Source organism: Homo sapiens, chromosome 14, assembly GCF_000001405.40.
Source record: "Homo sapiens chromosome 14, GRCh38.p14 Primary Assembly".
Lineage (NCBI taxonomy): Eukaryota > Metazoa > Chordata > Mammalia > Primates > Hominidae > Homo > Homo sapiens.
In genome coordinates this window covers 21,154,554-21,177,758 of record NC_000014.9, presented here as the reverse complement: position 1 = coordinate 21,177,758, position 23,205 = coordinate 21,154,554, and the positions used below count along the sequence as shown (strand labels likewise).

Sequence of the window (23,205 nt, the reverse complement as noted above, 5' to 3'; positions counted from 1 at the left end):
CGCCTTGGCCTCCCAAAGTGCTGGGATTACAGGCGTGAGCCACTGTGCCTTACCAGAAATTAGAGCCCTCTTACACTGGTAGTGGGAATGTAAAATTATGCAGCTGCTTTGAAAAACAGTCTGGCAGTATCTCAGATGATTAAACAGAGTTAGGATATGACCCAGCAATTCCACTCCTAGGTATATACCCAAGAGAAATGAAAATGCGCACATGGACACTTGGGCATAAATGTTTGTAGCTGCATTATTCATATTAGCTAAAAGGATAAAACATCCCAAAGGTCCATCTCCTGAGGAATGGATAAACAAGATATGGTATATCCATACAATGGAATACTATCTGGTCATAAAAAGAGTGCAGTACTGATCCATGCTACAACATGGATGAACCTTGGAAACATTATGCAAAGTGAAAGAAACCAGCCACAAAAGACCACAGACTTTATGATTTCATTCAAATGAATGTCCAGAATGGGGAAATCTACAGAGACAGAAAGTTGATAAGTGTTTCTTTAAGGCTGAAGTGGGAGTAGGGACAGAGGGATAGGAAAGTGACAGCTAAAGGGTACGGTGTTTCTCTTTCACGTGATAAAAACGTTCTAAAACTGGCTGTGGTGATGGTTGCACATATATGTAAATATATTTTAAAAACCATTTCTTAAAAAATTTTTTCTTTCCATCCACGTTGAGTTAATCTAAAAACCGTTGTTTTGTACATTTCAAGTGTGTGAATTGTATGATACATGAATTATACCTCAAAGCTGTTTTTACTTTTCTTAAAATTTTTATTTTAGGTTCAAGGATACATGTGCAGGTTTGTTATATTGGTAAACTCGTGTCTTGGGGGTTCTTTTGTACGGATTATTTAGTCACCCAGGTACTAAGCCTAGTACCCAATAGTTATTTTTTCTGATCCTCTTCCTATTCCCACCCTCCACCCTCAGGTAGGCCACAGTGTCTGTTGTTCTTCTCTTTGTGTCCATGTGTTCTCATCATTTAGCCCCTACTTACAAGTGACAACATGTGGTATCTGGTGTTCTGCTCCTGTGTTAGTTTGCTAAGGATGTTGGCCTCCAGCTCCAACTGTGTTCTAGCAAAGGATATCATCTCATTTTTTTAAATGGCTGCATAGTATTCCATGGTGTATATGTACCATATTTTTTTTTATCCAGTCTACCATTGATGGCATTTAGGTTGATTCCATGTCTTTGCTATTGTGAACAGTGCTGCAATGAACATATGCATACATGTGTCTTTATTGTAGAACAATGTATATTCTTTTGGGTATACACCCAGTAATGGGATTGCTGGGTCAAATGGTTGTCCTGTTTTTAGCTCTTTGAGGAATAGCCACACTGCTTTCCACAATGGTTGAACTAATTTACACACCCAACAACAGTGTATAAACATTCCTTTTTCTCCACAACCTTGAAAGCATCTGTTATTTTTTGACTTTTTAATAATAACCATTCTGACTGATGTGAGATGGTATCTCATTAAGGTTTTGATCTGCATTTCTCTAATGATGAGTGATATTAAGCATTTTTTCATATGCTTTTTGGCTACATGTCTTCTTTTGAAATATGTCTTTTCATGTTCTTTTCCCACTTTTTAGTGGGGCTGTTTGGTTTTTTCTTGTAAATTTAAGATCTTTATAGATGCTGGATATTAGACTTTTGTCAGATGCATAGTTTGCAAATATTTTCTCCAATTATGTAGGTTGTCTGTCTACTCTATTGATAGTGTCTTCTACTGCGCAGAAGCTTTTACCTTTTTGGGTTTTTGTTTGTTTGTTTGTTTTTTTGAGACGGAGTCACACTCTGTCACCCAGGCAGGAGTGCAGTGGCACAATCATGGCTCACTGCAACCTCCACCTCCTGGGTTCAAGCGATTCTCCTGCCTCAGCCTCCCAAGTAGCTGGGACTACAGGTGCCTGCCACCATGCCCAGCTAATTTTTTTGTATTTTTAGTAGAGACGGGGTTTCACCATGTTGGCCATGCTAGATTCAAACTCCTGACCTCAGGTGATCTGCCCACCTTGGCCTCCCAAAGTGCTGGGATTACAGGCATGAGCCACCACACCTGGCCTGCTGTTACCTCTAATTAGATCCTGTTTGTCAGTTTTTTCAATTTTTTTTTAAAGAGGTAGGGTCTCGCTACGTTGGCCAGGTTGGTCTTGAACTCCTGGCCTCAAGTGATCCTCCTACCTTGGCCTCCCAAAGTGCTGAGACTACAGGCATGAGCCACCATGCCCAGCCTCTGTCAGTTTTTGCTGTGATTGCTATTGGTGTCTTTGTCATGAAATCTTTGCCCATTCCTATATCCAGAATGGTATTGCCTAGTTGTCTTTTAGTGTTTTTATAGTTTTGGGTTTTACATTTAAGTCTTTAATCCATCTTGAGTTAATTTTTGTATATGCTGTAAGGAAGAGGTCCAATTTCAGTCTTTAGCATATGACTTCTCAGTCAGTTATCCCAGCACCGTTTATTAAATAGGGAATCCTTTCCCCATTGCTTGTTTTTGTCAGGTTTGTTGAAGATCAGATGGTTCTAGGTGTGTGGCCTTATTTCTGAGCTCTCTATTCTGTTCCATTGGTCTGTATGTCTATCAGTACCATGCTGTTTTGGTTACCATAGCCCTGTAAGTATAGTTTGAAATTGGGGAACATGATGCTTCCAGCTTTTTTGTTGTTGTTGTTCGTTTGTTTTGTTTTTTGCTTAGAACTGCCTTGGATACTTGGGCTCTTTTTTGGTTCCATATGAATTTTAAAATAATTTTTTCTTGTTCTGTGAAAAATGTCATTGTCAGTTTTATAGGAATAGCATTGAATCTATAAATTGCTTTGGGCAGTATGGCCATTTAAATGATATTGATTCTTCCTATACATGGTCATGGAATGTTTTTCCATTGTTTATATCATCTCTGATTTCCTTGAAGAGTGTTTTGTAATTGTCATTGTAGATATCTTTCACCTTCCTAGTTAGCTGTATTCCTAGGTATTTTATTCTTTTTTTGTGGCAATTGTGAATGAGATTGCATTCCTGATTTGGCTCTTGGTTTTGCTGCTGTTGATGTATAGGAGTGCTAGTAATTTTTACACATTGAGTTTGTATCCTGAGACTTTGCTGAAGTTGTTTATCAGCTGAAGGAGCTTTTGGGCCAAGACTGGGATTTTCTAGATATAGAATAATGTCATCTGCAAACAAAGGTACTTAGACTTCCTCCCTTCTTATTTGAATGCCCTTTATTTCTTTCTCTTATCTGATTGCTCTGGCCAGGACTTCCAATACTGTGTGGAATAGGAGTGGTGAGAGAGGGCATTCTTGTCTTGTGCTGGTTTCCAAGGAGAATGCTTCCTGCTTTTGCCCATTCAGGAAGATGCTGGCTGCGGGTTTGTCATATGTGGCTCTTATTATTTTGAGTTATGTTCCTTCAATATTTAGTTCATTGAGAGTTTTTAACATGAAGGGATGTTGAATTTTATCAAAAGGCTTTTCTGTATCTGTTGAGATAATCATGTGATTTTTGTCTTTAGTTCTGTTTATGTGATGAATCACATTTAATCATTTATATCAATAAATGTGTATGTCGACCCAATCTTGCATCCCAGGGATAAAGCCTACTTCACTGTGATGGATTATCTTTCTGGTGTGCTGCTGGATTCAATTTGCAAGTATTTTGTTGAGGATTTTGGCATCAATGTTCATCAAGGATATTGGCCTGAAGTTTTCTTTTATTGTTGTGTCTCTGCCAGGCTTTGGTATCGGCATGATGCTGGCCTTATAAAATGAGTTGGAGAGGAATCTCTCCTCAATTTTTTGGGATAGTTTCAGTAGCGGTGATACTAGTTCTTCTTTGTATATCTAGTAGAATTTGGCTGTGCATACATCTAATCCTGTGCTTTTTTTGTTTGGTAGGCTATTTATTACTGACTCAATTTTGGAGATTATTATTGGTTTGTTCAGGGAATCAGTTTCTTCCTGGCTCAGTCTTGCAAGGGCATATGTATCCAGGAATTTATCCATGTCTTCTAGGTTTTCTAGTTTGTGTGCATAGAGGTGTTCACAGTAGTCTCTGATGGTTATTTGTATTTCTGTGGGATCAGTGATAACATCTCTTGTTGTTTCTGATTTTGTTTATTTGGATCTTCTCTCCTTCTTCTTTATTAGTCTAGCTAGTGGCCTATCTATGTTATTATTATTTTTTTAAAAACCTAACTCTTGCATTTGTTGATCTTTTGAATGGGTTTTTTCATGTCTCAGTCTCCTTCAGTTCAGCTTTGATTTTGTTTATTTCTTGTCTTCTGCTATCTTTGGGGTTGGTTTGCTCTCGCTTCTCCAGTTCTTTTTGTTGTAATGTTAGGTTGTTAATTTGAGATCTTTCTAACTTTTACTTGGGGAGTTCAGTGCTATAAATTTTCCTCTTAACACTGCCTTAGCTGTGTCCAAGACATTCTGGTATGTTGTATCTTTGTTCTCATTAGTTTCAAATAACTTGATTTCTGCTGTGATTTTATTTACTTACCCAAAAGCCATTGAGGACTTTTAATTTCCATGTAATTTCATGGTTTTAGGTGATTTTTTTAAAGTCTTGATTTCTATTTTTATTGCTCTGTGGTCTGAGAGTGTGTTTAGTATGATTTTGTCTCTTTTGCATTTGCTGAGAATTGTTTTATGTTCAACTGTGTGATCAATTTTAGAGTATGTGTCATGTGGTGATGAGAACAAGGTATGTTCTGTTGTTTTTGGGTGGAGAGTTCTGTAGCTGTCAATCAGATCCATTTGGCCCAATGTTGTGTTCAGGTACTGAATATCTTTGTTAACTTTCTGCCTCAAAAATCAGCCTAATACAGTCAGTAGCATGTTGAAGTCTCCCATTATTATTGTGTGGGAGTCTAAGTCTCTTCGTAGGCCTCTAAGAACTTGCTTTATGAATCTGTGTGCTCCTGTGTTGGGTGGATATATATTTAGGATAGTTAGGTCTTCTTGTTGAATTGAACCCTTTATTGATTGATATGGTTTGGTTCTGTGTCCCCACCCAAATCTCATCTTGAACCGTAGTTCCCGTAATCCCCACATTTCATGGGAGGAACCCGGTGGGAGGTAATGGAATCTTGGGGGTGGTTTCCCCCATGCTGTTCTCATGATAGTGAGTGAGTTCTCATTAGATCTGATGGTTTTATAAGCGTCTGGCATTTCCCCTGCTGGGACTCATTGTCACCCCTGCCACTCTGTGAAGAGGTGCCTTCTGCCATGATTGTTAAGTTTCCTGAGGCCTCCCCAGCAATGCAGAACTGTGAGTCAATTAAACCTCTTTTCTTTATAAATTACCCAGTCTCAGGTATTTCTTCATAGCAACATGAGAATGGACTAATACACTGATGTAATGCCCTTCTTTGTCTCTTTTTTGATCTTTGTTGGTTTAAAGTCTGTTTTGTCTAAAATTAGGATTGCAGCCCCTGCTTTTTTCTGATTTCCATTTGCTTGGTAGATTTTTCTTCATTACTTTATTTTGAGCCTATGGGTGTCACTGTGTGTGAGATGGGTCTCTTGAAGATAGCCTACCATTGGGTCTTGCTTTTTTGTCCAGCTTGTCACTCTGCCTTTTAAAATGGGGCACTTAGCTCATTTACATTTAGGGTTAGTATTGACATGTGTGGATTTGATCCTGTTATTGTGTTGTTAGCTGGTTATTATGTCAGCTTGTTTGTGTGGTTGCTTTATAGTGTCACTGGTCTGTGTTTGTAGGAGTGTTTTTGTATTGGCTGGTAGTGGTCTTTCCTTTTCATATTTAGCGCTCCTTTCAAGATCTCTTGTAAGGCAGGTCTGGTGGTAATAAACTTCGTTAGCATTTGCTTATCTGAAAAGGATCTTATTTCTCCTTCACTGAGGAGGCTTAGTTTGACTGGATATGAAATTCTTGGTTTAAGATTTTTTTTAAGGTATTGTATATAGGTCCCCAATCTCTTCTGGCTTGTAGAGGTCTGCTGTTAGCCTGATGGGGTTCCCTTTGTAGACGACCTGTCCTTTCTTTCTAGCTGCCTTTAACATTCTTTCTTTCATTTGGACCTTAGAAAATCTGACAATTATGTGTCTTGGGGATAGTATTTTTGTGTAAATCTTGCAAGGATTCTCTGTTTTTCCTGAATTTGACTGTTGGCCTCTCTGGCAAGGCTGGAAAAGTTTTCATGGACAGTATCCTGAGATATGTTTTCCAAGTTGTTTGCTTTCTTTCTGCCCCTTTCAGGGGTGCCTGTGAGTCATGCATTTGGCCTGTTTGCATAATCCTATATTTCTTGGACGTTTTGTTCATTCCTTTTCATTCTTTTTTCTTGATTTTTGTCTGACTGTCTTATTTCAGAAAGCCAGTCTTCAAGTTCTGAGATTCTTTCCTCAGCATGATCTGCTGTTAATACTTGTGATTGCATTGTGAAATTCCTTTAGTGTGTTTTTTAGCTCTATCAGATCAGTGAAGTTCTTTTTTATACTGGCTATTTTGTCTGTCAGTTCCCGTATTGTTTTATTGTGATTCTTAGTTTCCTTGGATTGGGTTTTGCTGTTCTCCTGAATCTTGATGATCTTCATTCCTATCCACATTCTGAATTCTATTTCTTGTCATTTCAGTCAACTCAGCCTGGTTAAGAACTCTTGTTGGAGAACTAGTGTGATCATTTGGAGGACATAAGACACTCTGACCATTCGAGTTGCCAGAGTTCTTGCATTGGTTATTTCTTATCTCTGTACGTGGGTATTCCTTTAACTGTGGTGTAGATTGAGTACAGAAAATTGACTTCTTTTCTGGGTATTTTCACAGGTCTGAGGCTTTGTGCAGGGTCATTATTTGTAGCTGACTTATGTTTGGTTTCACAGAGGGGTAGGTTAGTGAGGTATTTTTGGTGTTGAAGCTTTGGGGTGTGATCCAGTAGGTGGCACTTAGGTGTAGTGGTCAGTTGGTAGGCTCTTACTCAGTCCTGTGGCTCCCCTATATTTCCTCACAGTTGCAGCCATGTTCCCTCTCAATGCTCTGAAAGTGTGCCCTCCTCTCCCACTTGAGTGCTGCCTGTAGATTGTGGCTTGACACTCCCAGGCTTCCCACTGCAGCTCTGGGGTGTTCTTAGGGTTTATGTTTCCTCCTTAACTTGGAGGCATCAGAGGAATGAACTTTAGCAGTGGCTGTGGCTGAAAGTCTTTCACTTATCTCCTGGGGGCCCTACCCCAGAGAGATACAGGTCAGCAATCACTTAGTGCAATCAGCCCTGAATGGGGGCTGTGGGCCCAACCTGAGGGTTCCCTGCTGGGTGATAAGTGTGTGGGGTAGGGGAAGGTGAGGAGTAGGTGGGACCCATGGGAGATGGACTGGCCTCCTCTCCTTGGGTAGACTGCTGCTTGTTGGAGGTGTGGATAAGGTACTTAGGGTCTTTGCTCCTTCATTAGTCTCAGGGTAGCAAAGGCAGTTCCACTGCAGAGGCACTGGCAGAGGGGCTTTCATTTGCCCCTGAGGGCTTCACCTCTGAGGAATGTGGAGCCACTGTTACTGGGAGTGTTCAGCCAGTGGGGTGGGGCAGCTGAACTGCTGGCATAAGCTTGGAGCTCCACTTGGGGATCGGGAGTCAAGGGCTCACTTGGAAGAGAGACTGGTCTCCTCTTCATATGGTTACTGTGGTGTGCTGTAAGCGCAGGTGTACCCCTCAGGCTCTTTGTTTCTTCCCCAGACCAAAGGCAGCAGGGATAGAACTGCTGCTGTGGTCGTGGCAGAGGGGCTCTTGGATGCCTCTGGGGTTCTCTCCCCAGGGAAAACCCTGGGCCACTTCCAATGGGTATAATCAGCTGTCGGTGGGGCAACTGTTCTGCAGTCATGAGCTGGGGGCCCTGCCTAGTGGAGAATGGGTGCCAGGGGTTCCCAGGGAAGAGGGCTGGGCTCCTCTCTGTATTGTGGCTGTGGTGTGCTGGAGGTGCCAGTGTAGTGACTAGGCCCTTTGTTCTTTCCCCAGCCCGAGGGCTGTTAGGGTTGTACCACTTCAACTGCAGTAGTGGAGGGGTTGTGGGTTGACTCTGGGATTTCCTCCTTGGAGAAATGCCGGGCTGCCTTTGTGATTGAAGTGGTCAGGCGGGAGTAGGTTGGTTGTGCTGGAGTCCCAGGTTGGGTGGCCCTGCTCAGTGAGGAGAAGTGAGGACTGGGACCAGGGTGGAGAACAGCCCAGCCACTTTTCTGCAAGGTGGGTGCTCTGTGCTGGGGGTTTTGACCAGCCTCTGGTCCCCACAGACTCTCCCGGGCCTGGAGACAGTAAGGATAAAGGCTGCAAGACAGCAAAGATGGCAACCCACCCTTCCCACTGGGAGCTCTGTCTCAGGGAGTTTCAGTGCTGCTACTGGCTTTATAGCCCCAGTGGGGGGTGGCTGGAAACCCAGGCCAGGAGGACCCACCCAATGAGGAGTTATGGGATTGGGACCCACATAACAAATAGTCTAGCCACTTTTCTGTAGGGCTGCTATAATATGCTCGGGGTCCATTCCAGTCCCTAGTCACCTCATATTTTTTTAGTATCTGAAGGTATTAACAGTGAAGGCTGCAAAACAACCAAGATGGTGGCCCACGCTTCCCTCTGGGAGCTCTGTCCCATGGAGGTTTGGAATTGCTGCCAGCTGGAAAACAGCTGAGGGGGTGGATGTAGACCTCGGTCAGGAGGTTCAGCCAGTGAAGAGAAATGGGATCCAGGACCTGCATGAAAAAGCAGCCTGGCCATCTCTCCGGAGAGCTGCTGTGCTGTGCCAGGGGACTGCTCCAGTCCCTACTCATCTTGGACTCCCCAGAGCCAGATGGCAACAACAGCTAAGGCTGTGAGACAGCAAATATGGTGGCGTGCCATCCCTCTGGGAGCTCCATCTCAGGAAGATGAAATGCTGCTACCGTGGCTGGCTGGAGTTCCAAGCCAGTGGGTCTTATCCTGTGAAGTGCCACGGAAGTAGGGCCTGCACACCATTGCCGCTCAGTCCCCTAGATTCAGCCCGTTTCCTAGAGATATGTACAGGGGTCTAGGCTTCTTTTTTTTTTTTTTTTTAGACGAAGTCTCACTCTTGTGCCCCAAACTGGAGTGCAATGGCATGATCTCGGCTCACCGAAACCTCTGTCTCCCAGGTTCAAGCGATTCTCCTGCCTCAGCCTCCCGAGTAGCTGGGATTATAGGTGCCTGCTACTACGCCCGGCTAATTTTTGTATTTTTAGTGAAACGGGGTTTCACCATGTTGGCCAGGCTGGTCTCGAACTCCTGACTTCGGGTGGTCTGCCTGCCTTGGCCTCCCAAAGTGCTGGGATTACAGGCGTGAGCCACCGCACCCGGCCGGGTCTAGCCTTCTTGGCCAGAGTTGCAGCTGCTTTTGTTTGGGAAGTCCAGATATCTAAAGCTCCTGGGGCTCCATGTGTGCCTGAGTGGCTGCTCTGCTGGGACTCCACGTAGCTCTGAGTGTCAGACCACAGGCCCTGGTGCAGTGAGTTCACAAGGGGATCTCCTGACCTGAGGTTTGCAAAGATCTTTGAGAGAAGCATGAGTCCCCAGGATTGCTCACTCACTTACTCACCACTTCCCTGGGTTGGGGAGGCTCCCCTTGCTCCATGTTGTTCCCAGGTGGACAGTTGTCCTGCCTTGCTTTTCTCCATCCTCCCTGGGTCGAGTTGTTTTCTTGACGAGTCCTAATGCACGTACTTGGATGTTTCAGTTGAAGATGCTGTATTTACTTGCCCCTTCTTTTCTCCCAGTGGGAGCAACATAAACTAGCTGCTTCTAGTCAGCCATCTTGGCTAGCCCTGCTTCAAAGCTATTTTTTTAAAAAATAAATCAGAAATAACATTATTTATTTATCTAAATTAATGATATACCAAAATGATACAATCATGAACGTTTTGCACCTAACAACATAGCCTGTAAATACAAAAAGCAAAAACAACAGAACTTGAGGGAGAAATTTATAATCCAAAGTCATTAGAAGATTTTAATATTTTTCTATCTGAAATGGACTTGTTAAAAATTTGGTAGTGTAGAACATTTCATCCTTCAATTAGGAAGATATACCTTTACCTATTTTATATGTATAATTGCATATACCTATATCAGAACTTAGTAGAGAGACCATGTATTAAACCACAAATTTCAGAATTAATATCACAAGACCCTCTTCTCATGTTGCTATTCTGTCAGAGGCAAGCATGTTGTTTGCTTACTCTTTTTAGTAAATCCAAGTGTTTTTTTCAAGTTTGGCTGCTCTGCTAGAATCTCCTCTCCCTTTTGCAATACGTTAGGTCCCAAGGCCATGGTGTTTCTATCCAGGAGAACCTGCAGCTATTTTCTCCTAAGGTCCTACAGAAGGCGGTCCCCAACCCCTGGGCCACAGGCTGATATTGTAGAACCAGGCTACACAGCAGGAGGTGAATGGTGGGTAAGTGAGCAAAGCTTCACCTGTATTTACAGCCATTCCACATCACCTCCATTACTGCCCGAGCCCTGCCTTCTGTCAGATCAGTGGCGGCATTAGATTGTCATAGGAGCTGGAACACTATTGCAAACTGTGCAATGCAAGGGATCTAGGTTGCATGCACCTTGTGAGAATCTAATTAATGCCTGATGATCTGAGGTGGAACAGTTTCATCCTGAAACTATCCCGCCACTTCCCTCCCTTTACCCCAGTCTATGGAAAAATTGTCTTCCACAAAACCAGTTCCTGGTGCCAAAAACATTGGGGACTACTGTCCTACAGTTCCCCGGACTTTGTAGTCTCCACAACTCCTCTCCTACTCAATTACTTACTAGTGATAAGGGTAAATTTTTATTCCTTCCAGAGGAGTCTGCTGCAGCAGATATAAACTACAATTTTTTTTCAATAGGTCATCATTGATTACTAATGGATTATCCTGGTATTATTTCCCTACAGAGAATTTTTGACTAGTACAATTTTATCTTCAGGTTTCACTTTGTTCTTTTTTCTATCTCTTCCAGTCTCAGAAATTCCCCATCCTCACTTTGGGAGAGGGGTTAATTTGATCTGTCAGTAATATTTTAATTCAAACTCATCTTCTTGATCTTTCTCACTTTTCTATAGCTATTATTTTTGTTACCTGCTGGTCATTCCCCTCAAATACAAAACAGTAAACTTTTTAGAGCAGTTGTTCAAACTATTCCGAGGGGTCATTATGAGTTACACGGGGACTTTTTCATGTCCCACCTATGAGGAAGAAAAAAAATTGAAAGAGGCTCCTATTTCTGTTATTTTGCATAGAGGGACTCCCTCTCCTTTTATTTGAGGAAAGATATGGCTTCTCAAAAATCTGAAAAATACTGCCTTTTTAAAAAACCATAACCCTCACAAAATTTTAGTATTTCTCAATTAATCACGTAGAAAATTACCAGCAAAAAACTCTTAGATTTACATAGAAGTTAAAATCTAAAGAATGGTGTATAATTGGTTCCAAAAAAACCATAGAAAGAACTTTTATTTTTAAAAAACAAATTCATGGCTATTGCCCTTGGATCATACTTTATGAATCACTGTCTTAGAAGACAAAAGCAAAATTCTGAGGTGACAGCTAAGAAGAAAGGGAACCAGTTGCTTGGACAACTGAAGTCTAGTATTTTAGATGACATGATGTCAAAAGATATCCTTATTTTATGTATTTAAGGAATAACATTTTTCATTCCTCTCACAGCTGGAGACCAAACTCCTTTTAAAAAGGGTCTCTCACTGTATATCTATAACCCTCATCATAGAGACCCTTCTTAAAAGGAGTTTGGTTTCTATCTGTGAGAACAAATGCCTGGGGCCTGTGGATGAGGGAGGCATAGGAAAGAAGCTCTATGTATACCCTCCTCCCTGGGATAGCACAGTGAGAGCACATGTGGATATGAAGGGCAGGCAGCCAAGAAAAGCAGCCAGTGAGATTCCCTGAGCAACAGTGATCCCAAACAATGGTTCTTAAACAGTAAGCTGCCTTGCCCAAGGTTCACAGGAGAAGCTTGTTACATGTGCAGATTCCAGGTCCCAACCCACGGAAAATTTGATCCAATAGGTCTATAGCTTGGCCCCAAAGTCTGGTGATTCTGACTGAGACAGGAGGTCTCTGAACCTCACTCTGAGAAACACTAAACCATGGGGTACTTGTAGGAGCAGACGGATCTTCCTGAGCCACATATTTATACATATCTCTTCCTAGCTTGCTGGACTTGTCCGTGTCCTGGGAAATCAGCCTGTGGGTAGGATGGTCATCCTGGACATGCTCTTCCCTCCAGAAGACCTATCTGTGGTTAACCATTTCCGGAAATCTGGGTTACCACCTGATGATAATCTAACACCAGAGCATTTCTTCCTTCAAAGTTGCTTCAGATGTCCTTCAGCAAACCATATAATTCCAGCAAAGCGCCTGGCTTGATGTCAGAGCTGTTGCTGTGGGGGTCAGAACACGAGTCTTCCATAGAAACACAGCAAAGACAAAGCCAGACTCATTGTATTCACAGACTGAGTCTGGGGATCAGAGCCTGTCACTGACTTTAGTCTCTCACGTTGTCAGAGGTGTGAGGCAGCCCCACTCCCTGTGAGCTCCTCACAGCTGATCTTGTGCTGGCAGGAGCCACCCCAGAGCCATCTTTTCCCCCGGCAGCCCAGCAGCTCACCACTGGGGAGGAGGATGTGTTCACTGATTAAAGTTTAAAAGGCAGGTGAGGAAGTGGGACTAATTAGCCCCATGAAGGCCCATTAAAGTGTTTGAAAAGTTACTAGCATCTCTGAGAGTCTACCCATGAGGAAACAAGTGGCTGGGAAAGTGGGAATGAGGGGACTAGATCCACACAGATCCCTGCAAATATGCTGCTCATTCGCCCCAAAACACTACTCCACCTTCACTCTAAACTTAACTCTTACGTGATTATCTGTATTTCCTCGACACTGGAAAACCAGGTTTTTCTTTCTTCTATGCCAGTTACCCAATGTACATTTGTGCTGTAGATGAGAGCTGAGGACCTTCCTGCCCTTCAGGGTTATAGTAAAGTTAGAGGCATGTTATGTGGTTCCCAAATATTTGGGAATTTTCTAGGTATCTTTCTGTTATTGATTTCTGATTTAAAAGCATATGGTCAGAGAATACATTTTGTATGACTTGATACTTTTGAATTTATTGAGACTTACTTTAAGGCCCAGAATAGGACCTATCTTGGAGAATGTTCTATGTCCACTTGAAAGGAATATATATTCTGTTTTGTTGAGTGGAGTGTTCTATCTGTAACTGCCAATTAGGTCAAGTTGGTTGATATTGTTGTTTGAGTCTTTCTAATCTGCTGCTAATCTCATCCAGTGTATGTTTTCATATCAGACACTGCAGTTTTCATCTACAGAAGTTTGTTTTCAGTCTCTTTTTATATCTTCTTGTCTTTACATATTTTTTGTACATATGGAATACAATTATAATAACTGTTTTAATGTGCTTCTGTACTAACTCTAACATCTGTTTCATGTCTGGGTCAGTTTCAGTTGGTTGATTATTTTTCTTTTCATGGGTCATGTTTTCCTGCCTCTTTACAAATCTAAATAATCTTTTTTCAGATACTAGAGATTGTGAATTTTATCTTGTTGGGTGGTGGATATTTTTATAGTCTTATAAGTATCTTTGGTTCTGGGATGCAGTTAAAGTTATTTGGCAACAGTCTGAGCCTCTTGGTCTTGCTTTCGTGATTTGTTAGGCAGGTCCACAGCAGGGTCAATCTAGGGCTAATTATTCCCCAATACTGAGGAAATAACTTCCGGAATACCCAAACCCCCATGAGCTATGAGCTTTTCCTGTTCAGCTGGTAGAACCGGCACTGTAATTGGCCCTCTGTAAGCACTGGGCCGTGTTCCCTCCAGTATTTTCAGGTTGTTCCTTCGCTGTCCTTGGGTAGTTTCTCCATATGATGTACTCATCACGACTCTTTTTTTTTACACCAAAATTTTTTCATTTAAAAAAGTATTTAGAACACACAAAACAAGGCAACATTTCTCCTTTTTTCTCATCTTCTGGTATGGGATCTGTTGGTGACTCCTCCACTGTTGGGCTGTTGCTCTCCGAGCCAGTGTTACTATCACTGGTTCCTTCCTCTGCCATACTGTCAATCCCCTCCTGCCCACTCTCCTTGTCTTAAGGAGTAGATGTGCCTTCTTCACTGTTCTGTTGGCTCTCTGTCATTTCTTCAAGGTGTGTCTCCCCTGTCTCCATTGGAATGTTCTCGTCGTCTTTCTTCTCCTCACCTTAGTTGGCCGCGTGCTCTTGCTCAGGAACGATGCCGCTCTGACTGCGCTTAGCTTGGTCTGCCACCTCCCTCTCCCTTTCCTCCTGCCTTTTGTGGGTCTGTTCCTCTGCCTGTGCAATCTCAGCTGCAATTTTCTCCATATCCACTTCTACCTTCAGACCACACAAACTTTTAAGTTATTGCTAAATGATTCTGTGCTTTCCAGGAATTTCCTCGTCTTCGGGTATCGTTCCTCTATTTGAAGAAGTTCAGCTTCTAGTTTTTGCTGATGAACCATTAAGGACTGGACCTGTTGTTTGAGGACCTGCATTCTAGCTGTTGTGACAGCTGACTGAATGTCTGGCACCACACTGTCACTAAGGATTTCATTGATGAGGCTGTGGTTTCTCTGGAAACAGGCAGTGGCTGTATGCTTGCTTCACTGAAATGCCATCATCACAATCATCTGGATCTTCATCACGCTGAATGCTCATGTAAGGTTCTCCTTTCTCTATGCAAGACTGTCTCTGTCGACTTTCTTTCTCTAAAGCAGCTTCTGCACAACTTTTTGCATTTATGTAAGCAAGGTACATGGGAGAATTATGATAGGACTTCATATATTCATTGTACTCTATCTTTTCTGCTTTGTATTCGTTTAAATATTCTTGTTTTTCTTCATCAGTGAGATCTTGCCACGTGCCATCAAATAATCTTGCCAATCTCCCACAACTTTAGGTCAGGGTTGGAAGCCTTGACTTGGTCCCAGACCTTTCGGCTGTACCTCATGTAGGGCATCAGCAGCTTATCTGATGGTTTTGGTGGTTTTGGAATCATAATACCAGAGGATGCCATGACCCGGCTGTTGGTGCCCGGGTTCCCTCCCAGCCTGTAGTTGTTGTAGGTGAGATGACTGTATGGATTGTATCCCACAAACCCTGATGTGCTGGGCATTTGTGTTGCAGGAGCTGGGCTGGGAGGTGAGGCATAAGATGGTCTTTTTGACATCTTAGTAGATTAAATTCTCAGTTCCTAAGAATGAATCTGAGACCCTGCAGGCAGAAAAAGCGCCCGCAGCTCTGGCTTCGCTTCCCTTTGTCCTCTCATCACTACTCTAATGAATACTTGAGAGACGGCCCTCTGGGGTTCTCCCTCTATGGAAATTTCTCTGTCTAGTACTCTGTCATAGGAACATTGGCCCATAGGTCTTTCCAAAGTCCCAGTTCCTTCTCAAGTCAGAGTGTCCTCCAGGATCCTTCTCAGTCCACCTTCTCTGCCCTGTGGTCTGGAAACTCCCCAAAGGCAGTAAGCTGGGGCAACTGTTGTGTTCACCTCATTTGTTTCCCACTTCTTGGGGTCATTGTCTTTCATTGTGTCGTGTCTGATGTCTTAAAAACTGTTTTATGTATCTTAGCTTATTTTCTTTTTAATTTTTGATGTGATTTTAGGCAGGGGGGTAAATTTGATCCCCACAACTCCATCTTGGCCAGAAGTTAAAGTCTCCCATGGGTAAATTCGATTATAAGATTTCCGCAAATTTGAAAACTTACCATGGTCTGGCTATCTGTTGGTTTCTGTTTTTGCCCATCATGTCTTCATTCAGCACTGTGCAGATCTAACAGAAATCTAATACCTTCTTTGCTACACACACATACCTCTTAGACAAAGCATTCATGTTGAGAATCTATCAAAGATTTTTGTGGGTGATAAAAGAGAGGTTTATATTTAATTTATTCATACATTGCCAAATTGCTTTTAAGGCTTTATTGTACTTAAAATTCTCTTTGGCTATCTGACACCTAGGATAGCTCTCTGAATTTCACCCAGAAGTCAGAAGTATATTCTGACTTCTCTCTTTTCTTCTCTTTCTCTTTATCATTTTTCTCCCTTCACTCCTCTTTTTCTCTTTTCTCCTCCAGGCTTTCTTAAGAAACTCAAACACAGGCCAGGCGCAGTGGCTCACTCCTGTAATCCCAGCACTTTGGGAGGCCGAGGTGAGTGGATTACCTGAGGTCAGGAGTTCGAGACCAGCCTGGCCAACGTGGTGAAACCCTGTTTCTACTGAAAATACAAAAATTAGCCAGGCGTGGTGGCACGTGCTTGTAATCCCAGCTACTCAGGAGGCTGAGGCAGGAGAATCACTTGAACCAAGGAGGTGGAGGTTGCAGTGAGCCAAGATTGTGCCACTGCCCTCCAGCCTGGCTGACAGAGTGAGACTCTGTCTAAAAAAAAACAAAAAAAACAAAACAAAACCCCAAACACAAATCTTTTTCCTTGTCTCAGTTTGTGCTTTTTTTAAATTTAAGTTCAGTTCCTACCTATATTCATGCCCTTTTGGCCACATCTTCAACTCCAAGTTTACATAAACTCAAGAATAATGATAGCTAATATTTACTATGATCGACTGCGATCTATTATGCTAAATCTTTTGCAAAGATGGCAATTCTTCTGACTGACACTCTTGTGGCTAACAGTTCTTCACAATGCTATGCGTACATGCCATTGCCACCATCAAGAGATAGAGTCTGTTTTCTTTCCTCCTTGCATCTGTGCTGGCCTTTTGACTTTCTTTGACCAGTAGAATGCAGCCCAAGTGACCTTGGTGACTTCTGTAGACGAAAATTACAATGTCTGATAAGAAAACATACACTGGATGAGATTAACAGCAGATTTAGAAAGGATACAGTAGACTTCAACAACAGTATCCACCAATTTGACCTAATTGGTTGTTACAGACCTAATTGGAAAGTTATAGATAAAACATTCCACTCAACATTTCAAGTTGAAATAGAACATTCAAGTGGACATAGAACATTCACCAAGACAGATCATATTCTGGGCCTTAAAATAAGTCTCAATAAATTCAAAAGTATCAAGTCATACAAAGTGTATTCTCTGACCATATGCTATTAAATTAAAAACGAATAACAGAAAGATCCCTAGAGGATTCCCAAATATTTGGAAACTATGTAAGATGCCTCTGATTTTATTATAATCTTGAAGAGTTCCAGAGTCCAGCCTTAAGATGCCTGGAAGCTTCTGTATCTCTCTTTGGGCCCTGAGCCACCATGTGATGAAAAGTCTGATAATTCTGCTGAAGATACTATGAAGGGAAAGGTCTAGGCAGCCTCCAGCTATTCCAGCCCGTCACACTGAAGTATGTGAGTGAAGCCATACCGAACCATCCAGCCCCAATTGAGGCTCTAGATGACTGTAGCTGCATGAGTAACTTCAGGTAACATCAGCAGTCTAACCACTCAGCTGAGCCCAGCCAAGATTACAGATATTTGAGCAAATATGTGATTGGCTTAAAACGTTGAGTTTTAGGGTGCTTTGTTAAGCAGTAATAAATAAGAAATATTTATTGTGGGGATCATTACAAATGTTGTCTTATTAAATTCAGTCTTATCAACAGGTATATGAGGTGGGTACTATTATTATCCACATTTTACAGGTGAGAAAAATGAGTATCAGCAAAGTTAATAAACTTTCTAGATGTCACCTAGCTAACAAATTGTTAAGCAGGGATTTGACAACAAGCTGTCTGATTTCAAAGCTGTACTGCACATTAAAACAGTTATAATGGTATTCCATATGTACAAAAAATGTAGACAGGAAGATATAAAAAGAGACTGAAAACAAACTTCTGTAGATGAAAACTGCAGTGTCTGATATGAAAACATACACTGGATGAGATTAGCAGCAGATTAGAAAGACTCAAACAACAATATCAACCAACTTGACCTAATTGGCAGTTACAGATAGAACACTCCACTCAACAAAACAGAATATATATTCCTTTCAAGTGGACATAGAACATTTCCCAAGATAGGTCCTATTCTGGGCCTTAAAGTAAGTCTCAATAAATTCAAAAGTATCAAGTCATACAAAATGTATTCTCTGACCATATGCTTTTAAATCAGAAATCAATAACAGAAAGATACCTAGAAAATTCCCAAATATTTGGGAACCACATAACATGCCTCTAACTTTACTATAACCCTGAAGGGCAGGAAGGTCCTCAGCTCTCATCTACAGCACAAATGTACATTGGGTAACTGGCATAGAAGAAAGAAAAACCTGGTTTTCCAGTGTCGAGGAAATACAGATAATCACGTAAGAGTTAAGTTTAGAGTGAAGGTGGAGTAGTGTTTTGGGGCGAATGAGCAGCATATTTGCAGGGATCTGTGTGGATCTAGTCCCCTCATTCCCAGTTTCCCAGCCACTTGTTTCCTCATGGGTAGACTCTCAGAGATGCTAGTAACTTTTCAAACACTTTAATGGGCCTTCATGGGGCTAATTAGTCCCACTTCCTCACCTGCCTTTTAAACTTTAATCAGTGAACACATCCTCCTCCCCAGTGGTGAGCTGCTGGGCTGCCAGGGGAAAAGATGGCTCTGGGGTTGCTCCTGCCAGCACAAGATCAGCTGTGAGGAGCTCACAGGGAGTGGGGCTGCCTCACACCTCTGACAACGTGAAAGACTAAAGTCGGTGACAGGCTCTGATCCCCAGACTCAGTCTATGAATGCAGAGTCTGGCTTTGTCTTTGCTGTGTTTCCATGGAAGACTTGTGTTCTGACCCCTACAGCAACAGCTCTGACATCAAGCCAGGTGCTTTGCTGGAATTACATGGTTTGCTGAAGGACATCTGAAGCTACTTTGAAGGAAGAAATGCTCTGGTGTTAGATTATCATCAGGTAGTAACCCAGATTTCCGGAAATGGTTAACCACAGATAGGTCTTCTGGAGGGAAGAGCATGTCCAGGATGACCATCCTACCCACAGGCTGATTTCCCAGGACACGGACAAATCCAGCAAGCTAGGAAGAGATACGTATATGTGGCTCAGGAAGATCTGTTTGCTCCTGCAAGTACCCCATGGTTTAGTGTTTCTCAGAGTGAGGTTCAGAGACCTCCTGTCTCAGTCAGAATCACCAGACTTTGGGGCCAAGCTATAGACCTATTGGATCAAATTTTCTGTGGGTTGGGACCTGGAATCTGCACATGTAACAAGCTTCTCCTGTGAACCTTGGGCAAGGCAGCTTACTGTTTAAGAACCATTGTTTGGGATCACTGTTGCTCAGGGAATCTCACTGGCTGCTTTTCTTGGCTGCCTGCCCTTCATATCCACATGTGCTCTCACTGTGCTATCCCAGGGATGGGGGCAATGAGTCGGGTATAAACAGAGCTTCTTTCCTATGCCTCCCTCATCCACAGGCCCCAGGCATTTGCTCTCACTCTTATGCACTCCACTCCATAATCCACTCCCATATGATAAGATCATCTTTAAGTTTTCCTCCTACATTTCATTCACAGGTACAAACAATAGCCAATAGAAATAGTGGTAATTCCAGCATCCTTTGAACAACTGTCAGAGATGCCAATTTCTCCATAATCCTTTCCTTGAGTCACTCTATATTCTTAAGAATTTTGAATTTAGTGCAGATTGGTGAAGAGAGATGAAAGAGGAGAGGGGAGCAGAAGAGAGAGTGTGGGTTTAAAGTAAATGATAAATCTGGAGGCTCTGATCAGCTATCCACTGTATTACCCACCACCCTACCCCATCCCATCCCACCACTCCACCCCAGTGTATGCTTCCTGCCTCATCCATACTGTCTGGAGCATTGCACATATTTCTATTTTTCTCTTCTTTTGTTCTTTTAATCAGAGAGATACTTGCAGACCTATTACCTAAATTGAAACAGCCCACCAAGGAAAGAAGATGGGAAGCTGGGTCTGAAAATTCTACTCCACTCCTAATGACCACCTTTCTATTTTCTTAAAGTGCCTGCAAGTTATTTCCACTCTGGGAGTTTTACAGTCATTTATCTGAATTCCTCTAATTTGCCTTGAAGTCGAATTGGCCTTTGTCACCAATGGCGCCAAAGACATTTGCAACCCAAATCTAGGACTGCCCACATTCTACAATAGTGAGATTTATTATAAAATGACAGCTGTTAGAGTAAGGATAGCTGAATGTTACATCTAAGTGACATGAAATAAGTCACAGAATTGCATTCCATGAGTTCTAAAAGCAGTTGCTAATGTTCTGTGTTCAAATTTGCACTTATATTTTGTGTCTCAATTTTATTAGGGCATGTTACCTCTTTGGGCATTTCTAAAAGCCTTTTTCTTGTCACCAGTCACAGTATTCTATCAACACAAATGGTGCCTCATTCCCTGCCTGACAACTAAATTTAGTTATACATATGTCCAGAATCTTCTCCTGCCCAGGTAGTTTGATGATTCTGGAAATTATGTCATTGGAATTCGTCAGAATGTTTGCTTGCTCAATCCAGCTCTTTCCTCTCCAAATTCTCCCAACACTTTTCACAGGTGTGTTATTCGCTTACTCTCCTCAGGGCAGGATGAGGCAGCTCACTTTTGCCCCTTTTTGTCCTACTCAGCCACATCTGTTAGCTTCAAAGTCTTTGTAACTGAGAGTCTTCACCCAAGAGCACAGGGTGCTTAACTGGCTCAGCACCCAGAGGTAACTTGGGAAGACACGTGGTAGAGGAGCCAATGGAACAGAGGAGAGTGTGGTGTTTAGGTGATGCATTCAAGCTTTGTTCACTCTCTAAATAGAAAAGGCATTTTCACAAAGACTCACTCACTTCGTTCCTTTCCTACTGGCCATAACATCCTCTGAGTCCAGGGTGATTTTGTTCTCTGGAAATGATGGGCAGCTTTATGGATGATGAGGAGACTCTCCCGTTGGTGGAGGCTCCCACATGCAGTCTTACACTACCTCCATCTCTCCACACTCTCAGCCCTTGTTACCTTAAGTATTCACATTATTGCCTGGGTAGTGCTGATTTCACAGGGCCAGTTTTATAGCTGACCCATCAGCCATCTACAGCCTCTCTGAAAGCCTGTTTAGTCACGCTTGCATAGCACGTGTGTCTCTGTCTATACTGTTAGGTGGTAGGTTGCTTGCTAAGCTTTGTTGTGGGTTCATCTCATTTATCATGTTTATTTAGGTTTTGGATCTATCTTCTTAGTGAGCATGCTCATAGCTAACCTTCTTTGAACTTCCTCAACGTGCTGGAATTTGTTCAACTTCTCTGCATGAAATAACTCATTGAATTTTTATAATAATCTTTATAGACAGTTGCTATTATCCCTATTTCACAGATGGAAAAATGGAAACTCAGAAAGGTAAAGTAACATTCCCAAGATTACACAGCTAGTTAATGGCAAAGTCCTAACTTTGAACCTTAGCAGTCTGATACCACAGTATGTGTGGCTTAAACACAAAATATACTGTCTGTAGAATATAAGCTTCCCAAGGTCAGGCACTCTTGAATTCCTGATAGGGAGAACACAGAGCTAAGCAAATGGAAAACTATGAATATATACTTGGTGAGTGACTGTTTCATTACTTAGAATTTTTAAGATCCCCAAGACCAATTGTAGATATTTCTCTTATATTTTCCATTGCTGCTTAAGTAATGCTTACCAACTAACCAACCAACCAAGGAGAAAAGATCCTCTCTATGACAGAGTTTCATCTGCAAAGCCAAATGCCCTCAATAAGACTCATCTTCAGAAGGCTGTCCTTAGGCAGAATTAAACCCAGTCAGAGCCCCAGGTGTTCAACCTCATTTATGGTGGTGCCTTCTTTCTCCATCGCAGAGCACTGGAGAAGGATGAAAGGGGCAAACCTGAGCCAAGGGATGGAGTTTGAGCTCTTGGGCCTCACCACTGACCCCCAGCTCCAGAGGCTGCTCTTCGTGGTGTTCCTGGGCATGTACACAGCCACTCTGCTGGGGAACCTGGTCATGTTCCTCCTGATCCATGTGAGTGCCACCCTGCACACACCCATGTACTCCCTCCTGAAGAGCCTCTCCTTCTTGGATTTCTGCTACTCCTCCACGGTTGTGCCCCAGACCCTGGTGAACTTCTTGGCCAAGAGGAAAGTGATCTCTTATTTTGGCTGCATGACTCAGATGTTCTTCTATGCGGGTTTTGCCACCAGTGAGTGCTATCTCATCGCTGCCATGGCCTATGACCGCTATGCCGCTATTTGTAACCCCCTGCTCTACTCAACCATCATGTCTCCTGAGGTCTGTGCCTCGCTGATTGTGGGCTCCTACAGTGCAGGATTCCTCAATTCTCTTATCCACACTGGCTGTATCTTTAGTCTGAAATTCTGCGGTGCTCATGTCGTCACTCACTTCTTCTGTGATGGGCCACCCATCCTGTCCTTGTCTTGTGTAGACACCTCACTGTGTGAGATCCTGCTCTTCATTTTTGCTGGTTTCAACCTTTTGAGCTGCACCCTCACCATCTTGATCTCCTACTTCTTAATTCTCAACACCATCCTGAAAATGAGCTCGGCCCAGGGCAGGTTTAAGGCATTTTCCACCTGTGCATCCCACCTCACTGCCATCTGCCTCTTCTTTGGCACAACACTTTTTATGTACCTGCGCCCCAGGTCCAGCTACTCCTTGACCCAGGACCGCACAGTTGCTGTCATCTACACAGTGGTGATCCCAGTGCTGAACCCCCTCATGTACTCTTTGAGAAACAAGGATGTGAAGAAAGCTTTAATAAAGGTTTGGGGTAGGAAAACAATGGAATGATTTCTCAATGCATTACCACATATCTTTAGAAAGTCAAGGGAACTTTTACCTTAGGTGGTGTCACCCTGAGCACATTCCCATGCCCACCCCTGTGAATATTGGGCATGCCCTCTGGTCTGCAGGTGCTTCTGCATCTACCTGCCACAGAAGAAATGATGGTGTCCTAGAGACTAAGAAGTGAGAAGGGTGTGTCTGCTTGTTGCATAATTCAACCTGTTGGCAAGATTTAGTAATCCATGTTGAGATGCTTCATTCATTTTTCCCAGTTAGTGTATTTCCTTTCCTTTCCCACCCTCCCTCCCTCCCTCCCCACCTCCCTTTCTTCCTTCCTTCCTTCCTTCTTTCCTTCTTTCCTTTCTCTCTCTCTCTGTCTCTCTCTCTCT

General features: G+C 42.7%; 1 protein-coding gene and 1 pseudogene across 1 annotated transcript; one reads left to right on the top strand and one right to left on the bottom strand.

Annotated features, from left to right (window-relative positions):
* SMARCE1P3 (SMARCE1 pseudogene 3) lies at window positions 13,952-15,337 on the bottom strand (annotated as a pseudogene).
* Window positions 21,696-22,894, top strand: OR5AU1 (olfactory receptor family 5 subfamily AU member 1). Its single transcript, NM_001004731.3, has one exon. The coding sequence runs from the start codon at window positions 21,887-21,889 to the stop codon at window positions 22,820-22,822; it is 936 nt and encodes a 311-aa protein (NP_001004731.2). The 5' UTR covers window positions 21,696-21,886; the 3' UTR covers window positions 22,823-22,894.
* Window positions 22,895-23,205: the final 311 nt, after the last annotated feature.

Coding starts and splice junctions, on each gene's coding strand:
- OR5AU1 (NM_001004731.3), top strand. CDS start 21,887: ATGAAAGGGGCAAACCTGAGCCAAGGGATGGAGTTTGAGCTCTTGGGC.